Consider the following 8,117-nt stretch of genomic DNA (forward strand, 5'->3'; position numbering starts at 1 on the left):
TCTTTTACATTACTTTCTAAATAAAAGTCTGAAAGCAGCTTATCACTGTTGCTTCCTTAGGAGCTTCCCATTATTGATTCAGGTACCAGGCACTTGGCCAGCATCTGAGGTTTTGAAAATAAACTTCCCCTTTGAAAGCATATGTCCAGCTATAAGTTTTAAATGAGCAAAGGTTGATCAGTAAGCAATAGTTATTCACTTTGCATCCTAAAATTACTGAAATTCTCAAGTTTATGATCTAAATTATGTTAGTCAATGTTCTTGGCATATATAAAGGACTAATAATTGGGAGATGAACTAGCTAAAGGGAATGTCAGAAGAAAATACTTATAGTTAAATATGCAGAAATAAATTTATCAGCTATAAATGTAAGGAACAACCATAAGAATCCACAGAAACATATAAATAAAGAAACAATTTCCTCCTAGGCAGTTAGACCCTCTTGCAAGTTTTATTCTGCCTATTCTCTTTAGCTAAGACGTCCTCTACTATCACGTCAGAAAACTCAGACTGAACCCAGAAATCGCCAAGGGGCTCGGCTGTCAACCACTCGCAGGAGCATTCAACCTAAAACGAAGCCGTCTGGTGAGGCCTCCTGTGTCCCTTCTGACTATACCATTGACATGATGCCATGCAACTCACCCAGGAAGGCTTACAAAAACCAAGCTGATGGAGATAAGCACACCTTTGGGGAGGTGCTAACATAAGGGAAGGAGTTTCCCAGAAAACTGTAGTGTCTTTTTTTTCTTCTTGCCTTCCCCAGTCCCTGTCTGTACCCCCATGAACCTATAAAAAATGGAAGAGCCCAAGGTAAACCACTAATACTGGGAAATTTGACTATAAAAGGATGTGGCTTCTTTACTGAAGCCAAGGACTGGGTTTGCTGTATGTCTCACTGAAGGTAAAGCTATGATGAATAATAGGGACTTTTAAGTCCTGTTGGCAGTTGTTATGAGGAATGATCAACTTCAATTAATATTCTATACAAATGTTATTTTAGGCCATTTACGTGAAAATGATTTTTCTACGTAAGTCTTACTCTTTGTAAGAAGATAAAATCAAACATGCGCAAAATGTTCAAACGTGCTCTCATTTATTAATAAACCAGCAATGTTTTTATTTTAAAAAATCCCCAGGAGACACTGGTTAATACCAACTATTAAGCATTGACGGTCCGTTTCCACCAACTCCTCCCCAATTTACTGTTTCACCTCTACCTGCAGCGGATCAGAAACGATCTGTGACCTTCATTGAGGCTCAGCCAGAGCCAGCAGCTGCCCCAACAGATGCGCTTCCTGCAACAGGCCAACTACAGGGCTGTAGCCCAGCCCCTTCTAGGAAACCAGAAGCAATGGACGAACCAGTCCTCACATCTTCTCCCGCCATAGTTGTTGCGGATCTCCACAGCGTGTCTCCCAAGCAGGTGAGGGCACTAGAGAAACAGGCAAGGCTTGCTCCCTGTGTACTTACTTCTAGCAGCCACTTGGATATGCACATTTATTCCATATAATTAAGTCCAGGTCTGCAATGCTTTGTTATCCAAACAGATACTGCTCCTGCCATCATGAAAGAGAAAAATCTATATAAAGTATAGCCAGGCATATATCTGCTTAAGAAGGACCAAGAAAAGCCTTGCTATTTTTACCTATGAAAAACCTAAGAGGAAATACTTTGCAGCTAAAACAGCTCTTTAAAACAGGTTTATACAGGTTGAGCATCCCTAATACAAAAATCTGAAACTTTTTTTCAGAAAAATTTGAAACTTTGTAAGTGCTGATGTAATATTCAAAGTTCATGCTCAAAGAAAATGCTTATTGGAGCATTTTGGATTTCAGATTTTTGGATTAAGGATGCTCAACCAGGTAAGTATATAATGCAAATATTCCAAAATCAGAATCCAAAGCACTTGTGTTTCCAAGCATTCAGATAAAGGATAGCTGAAAGATAGTTCAATTTAAAAAAATTAAGTTACCAGTTTAGATAAAGCCTCTAAATATAGAACCTCTATGTCCTATAAGATGAAAGGAACTTTTTGTTTTCATCTTTTTCCTCATTGTTTTGCTATTTTTCCTGTTGATATTTTTCTTGTTTTGGTATATTTTTTCTTTTCATTTTTATAAATGAATTCTTAGAGTGTCAGATTCTTCTCATGTGGTATTTAAGGAAAACTAAAGGGCAATGTTACTGTATACATTTGTATAGTCTTTAATGGTTAAAAAACATTTTAACACTAAGCATTATTATCTCATTTGATCCTCACAGTCTACAAGATAAGCAAGACAAAAAATTGTGTTCATGTTACATGTTCAAAAACTGAGGGTTAGAAAGTTGGAAAGGCCTACGTAAGGTCCTACCTATAACAAAGGCTGGAACTGGGACTAGCCATCTGATTCCTTTTCCAATTACCACTAGACAACAACATTTTTTGATGTTCTTCTCTGGTACCCATCCTATCTTTCCATAATGTTATGATCCTTTTGATCACAGAGTGAGAACTTCCCCACTGAAGAAGGAGAAAAGGAGGAGGACACAGAAGCACAAGGTGCTACTGCACACAGTCCACTCTCTGCCCAACTCTCTGACCCTGATGACTTCACAGGCCTCGAGACATCCAGCCTCCTACAGCATGGAGACACTGTCCTTCATATCAGTGAGGAAAATGGCATGGAGAACCCGCTACTATCTAGTCAGTTCACCTTTACTCCCACTGAGCTGGGGAAAACGGATGCAGTATTAGATGAGTCTCATGTTTAATTCTGTATCTTGTAAGCTCTGCAGGTATAGAGAAGACATGAAAGTGATCTCTCTACTACAAGTTCAATACTTTTGCTTGAAAAAGATTAATTACAAAATAGCACTTTACTTCTAATGGGTGGCACAAATCTGAATAGGTTTTGCTGCCAATACACATGATGTTTCATAAACATCTTAAAAGTCAATGGCTAAAAGGATTTAGTTGTGTGAAAATCACAAAACCAGGGAGGAATAAGGGGAAAGAGCCATTTCACTGCACATTGTTTATGATTCAAGAAGCCTTCAGCAGTTAAAAATATATACTATTCATTGCTGCTTTCATAGAAATATTAACAAATGATATGATCTAAAAATAGAATGCAATTTTTTGAGATTACTCACATTATACATCTCATGCAAATATTTATTTTTATAGTTTAAAAAATATCAATTCAGGTTGGCTATACAAGTAGCAATTTACATAAAAAAATAATTAATAGGAAAAATATTACTTTGGGGAGACTAAATAACAAGCCTGCAGCCATTTTTGTTTTGAGTAACAATACAGCCATTTAGAAGAAGAAAAAAATACTATATAGAGAGCTGTGGACTTTTAGATATTTATTTTTCAACTATCATTTTCATTGCATGTTGTAAATCAAAATGCAGATGGCATAAGATCATCCCATTTCATAATCTATCACATTAGAATATTACAGAATATTCTAGAAATCATCAGAAATAATTCTGAATTAAGAACCTAAACAGCCTATACAATTATAAAAACTAAATGTATATATAATCACTTAAAAGAGATGGTATTCCTATTCCTAGCCCTGACTACATCAATACCAAGATTAGAAGCTATTGGAAAATGTGATTAGTAATACTTTTCCTTATAGTATCCTGTGCCTGCCCTGGAGGGCATATTTTCAGATATTAAGGTTAGTGTTGTTAGAATCGGTTTAATAAAATAACATTTTCCTAATAGAAACAATATTCTTATGATACTTGGAACATCTAAGTTTATAAGGAAAAATGTATAAAGTAAGCAATTTCTTCATAGACACCTCCAGTTTATATATTTTGCAAATAGGCCTTTAACTTGAAGTTCAATTACTTCAAGAAAAGTGTAACACTTAGAAGGCTTGTGAGGCCAACACCTAGTGTGTTACTGATCCTATGGTAGGGCTGTGCATCACGTGGTTCACAATTGAATTTCAAAATTTTAACAGTTTACATTAGAAAACTGTTACCTAACAACCAAGCATATACAAACTCATATACATACTTAAATTGGTACGGTGGTGTATGTGTGCGTGCGTGTGTGTGTGTATGTGTTGTAGTCCTCAAGATGAAGTTAAATATAGACTTTAATTACCCTGCAATGAATTTAAAACACATTCTGTATGCTTAAACTTTGAGTGCGTTGGCTGTGAAATGTATACATATATAAAGAGGATACCTACTAAACCCACCTTAATCATAAAGGAAAATTATTTTTTGTTAGAATTGCTTATTAAATAGGCATACTTTATACTGTGGTTTATAATTTCAAATATAACTTGGGGTTATGGTCCTATTCACTAAGAGAATGAAAGATATCCATGAGTTAAAAGAACAAAACTAAAAATTTCAGATCTAACAATTGAAAGAAAATTGAGGCAGTAAATGACCTCTTTTACTCTTTTATGTTTTACAATATTATCATGTTATTTACAGTTAATGCTGAAATAATTCTCAAGTGCAGGAATATAAATGTTAAGTGGTTTTATGATTCCAAGCTGATATATTTCACCTGTTAAAAATTATGCTGCTAAATTAGCATTAGAGGCCTTATGTTTGGTAATTACAAGTGTCTGGGCTATTGGCGCGTCTCTATATATGTGTGTGCTTTGTTCCAGTTTCTTCAAATTATCTATGTATAATTGTATGAAATATTTAAATAGCAAAGAAGTCAAAGAAGATTGTTAAATATTCAACAAGAATCATAAATACCTTTATATGTATTTTAAAAGTATTGGGCTGTTCTGAACATGATTATGCTGGTCTGTCTGTCTTTTAGCCTGACTCCTTCACTCTTGTGTGTGAAGTCTATTAGCAACTTTCAATAAGCTAAGCAATGTTGTAACTTGCAAAAAAGCCTCCACTCTGAGAAACAGGGCCTTATAGAGTAGGAATGTTTTCATACTGGGACTACTGAAATTTTGCAGATGTGTGCATCTGTTCCATTTAAGGTGCCCTTAAATGTGTTGAATGTAATGTGTTGAATGTTTATGTGTAATGGCTAAAGTATCTATATGTATGTGCATAAAACTGTCACAAGATGTATTCTCAGGAATACTGTTACCTGGAGTTTGAAAGGAATAACTATTAAAAAAAAAAGTTGGGGAAGATTAGAAAAAAGCTCAAGATAAATGTTCAAAATATTATTAAGTACATGACTAAAAGCTAATTACTACATATGATAAATGCAGTGTTGGTAATAGTAGATCATTTCTTAAGCCATGATACTTAATGATATTTATCTTATTCAGAGGAAAAACAAAAAAGGTACCCACTTCCCATGTAGAAAAAATTAGACTCAGCAAAGAGGTTGCTTCTTCTGAAATTAGCTTTTGAGAGACCTTGGAATAAACCATGTGTTATCCATGATAGTATGACTCAGATCCAATTAAAACAGTTTAAATTCTGGATATAGGATCTCCTATAGCAAAACATTTTACTTTCATTTTTCAGTATTTGCTGCTTTCTAGAATTCTATTAGATAAGCTATGTCATTTTTCTGAAAAAGAAACTGAGTTATTGAGTGTATTAAGACAAGGCACTGAGAACTACAGTGTCAAAATCAAAGGGCATAAATGGGCATGGCAGTGCTGGTGGAAAAATCTGTGGTACTGGTGATCTGGTTAGGGCCTGTTGCACAGGCTGGGAGTAACTGGTTTGCTGTTTCAAGCCTCCAAGAGTACCTTAAACAAGGTGATAGCTCCTCTCTTCTTTAGCATTATATTCCTTTAGTCAACAAAGAACTTTCTCCACTCTGCTGCCCAGCTCTGAGAGTATCTGAGATGAGAATAGGATGTGTGTGGAGGGGCTTTTAGGGAAGAAAGGGTCATAAATGAATAGAAGTACAGTCTGAAACATGAATTAAATATCCTTCCTCAAGTTATAAAGGATACTTTAATAGAACACAGTCTCCAGAATTCGCTGCTATCACACCAAGTCATGCTGTTGCCCTGTGACCTCACACTTCCCATTCCATGGCCTTGTCTTGGCAGGGAGTAAAAAATCCCACTTCTTTTTACTTTAGTGGGTCTCAACTGCAGCATTTCAGAAACAAATTTTGATTTGACACTCAGGAGAATAAAAACAAGTTGAGGGCAGAATGTATTTGGAAAAGCTTAAGACAAATTTACTGATATTATTTTATGATCATTTAGGATTACAGATCAATTTACCTCCATAAATCTTTGAATTGTCACTGTGACCACAGGATGAAAATCCTTTATTAGCCATTTTATAGGTTAAAACAAAAAATTGACTACACAGCCGACTTCCCTCAGATAACTATGAAGTCTATTATGAGTACTGAATGACCAAAGAACATGGAAAAAATGCATATGAATAAATACTGAAATGTTTATGAAAGATATTTATGAAAGATATTAAGACTTCTGTGTTTAGGTATGCACATATGATAAAATAAATCTAAAAACATTAAAGATGCCTAAGTTTCATTTCTTAATGTAGGTAATAGCTTGACTCCTTCAGGAAGATGTTCATTTTGGATTCCTGGGGTGTGCCTTTGTTAATGCCTTGCTGTCCATCCTCAACCTCCCCAGTCTGGCCTGAGGTCACCATCCAATTAGACACCTCCAATACACTCTCCGTGACCCCTCCCCACAAACTGAGCTCTACTCTACTCATGCTTTGCAAATCTACCTTTAAAAAATAAAAATAAACTTCTCTGCCCAGGCTTTCATCTACTGGAATAACTGGTAGATTTCCCAGTGGGATTGTTAAAGATCTGGTTGCCCTCACAATGTGGCCAGAAATACGTGGTCCTGTGTCAGGAATTGGTGGGTTCTTGGTCTCAATGACTTCAAGAATGAAGCCACGGACCCTTGCGGTGAGTGTTACAGTTCTTAAAGGCAGCGTATCCGGAGTTTGTTCCTTCTGATGTTCAGATGTGTTTGGAGTTTCTTCCTTCTGGTGGGTTCGTGGTCTCGCTGGCTTCAGGAGTGAAGCTGCAGACCTTCGCGGTGAGTGTTACAGCTCTTAAGGCGGTGCGTCTGGAGTTGTTCATTCCTCCCAGTGGGTTCGTGGTCTCGCTGGCTTCAGGAGTGAAGCTGCAAACCTTTGTGGTGAATGTTATAGCTCATAAAGGCAGTGTGGACCCAAAGGTGAGCAGTAGCAAGATTTAGTGCAAAGAGCAAAAGAACAAACATACCACAGCTCAGAAGGGGACCCAAGCCGGTTGCCACTGCTGGCTCAGGCAGCCTTTTCTTCTCTTATCTGGCCCCACCCACACCCTGCTGATTGGTCCATTTTACAGAGAGCCGATTGGTCCGTTTTGACAGGGTGCTGACTGGTGCGTTTACAATCCCTGAGCTAGACACAAAAGTTCTCCTACTAGATTAGCTAGATACAGAGTGTCCATTGGTGTATTTACAAACCCTGAGCTAGACACAGAGTGCTGATTGGTGCATTTACAAACCTTGAGCTAGATACAGAGTGCCAATTGGTGCATTCACAATCCCTTAGCTAGACATAAAGATTCTCCAAGTCCCTGCCAGATTAACTAGATACAGAGTGCCCATTGGTGCATTCACAAACCCTGAGCTAGACACAGGGTGCTGATTGGTGTGTTTACAAACCTTGAGCTAGATACAGAGTGCTGATTGGTGTATTTACAATCCCTCAGCTAGACATAAAGATTCTCCAAGTCCCCACCAGACTCAGGAGCCCAGCTGGCTTCACCCAGTGGATCCCATACTGGGGCGGCAGGTGGAGCTACCTGCCAGTCCCCTACTGTGCGCCGGCACTCCTCAGCCCTTGGGCGGTCGATGGGACTGGGTGCTGTGGAGCAGGGGGCGGCGCTCCTCAGGGACGCTGGGCGCGCAGGAGCCCACGGCATGGAGGGGAGGCTCAGGCATGGTGGGCTGCAGGTCCCGAGCCCTGCCCCGTAGAGGGAGGCAGCTAAGGCCTGGCAAGAAATCCAGCACAGCAGCTGCTGGCCCAGGTGCTAAGCCCCTCACTGCCCGGGGCCAGCAGGCCAGCCGGCCCACCCAAGTGCGGGGCCGCAGAGCCCACGCCCACCTCGAACTCGCGCTGGCCCACAAGTGCCTTGCAGTCCCAGTTCCCGCCTGTGCCTCTCCCTGCAT

At 38.7% G+C, this 8,117-nt stretch overlaps 1 protein-coding gene across 3 annotated transcripts in view; it reads left to right on the plus strand.

Annotated features, from left to right (window-relative positions):
- The window catches only part of UNC80 (unc-80 subunit of NALCN channel complex), a 227,465-nt gene extending 221,010 nt beyond the window's left edge, over positions 1–6,455 (plus strand). For all 3 annotated transcript variants that reach the window (NM_032504.2, NM_001371986.1, NM_182587.4), the window contains 3 exons: positions 474–585; positions 1,224–1,423; positions 2,488–6,455. In NM_032504.2, coding sequence (NP_115893.1) covers positions 474–585; positions 1,224–1,423; positions 2,488–2,754 — 579 coding nt within the window. In that variant the 3' untranslated portion in view covers positions 2,755–6,455. The remainder of the gene's footprint in view (positions 1–473; positions 586–1,223; positions 1,424–2,487) is intronic.

The sequence above is a fragment of the Homo sapiens genome, chromosome 2 (genome assembly GCF_000001405.40).
Source record: "Homo sapiens chromosome 2, GRCh38.p14 Primary Assembly".
Taxonomy (NCBI): Eukaryota; Metazoa; Chordata; class Mammalia; order Primates; family Hominidae; genus Homo; species Homo sapiens.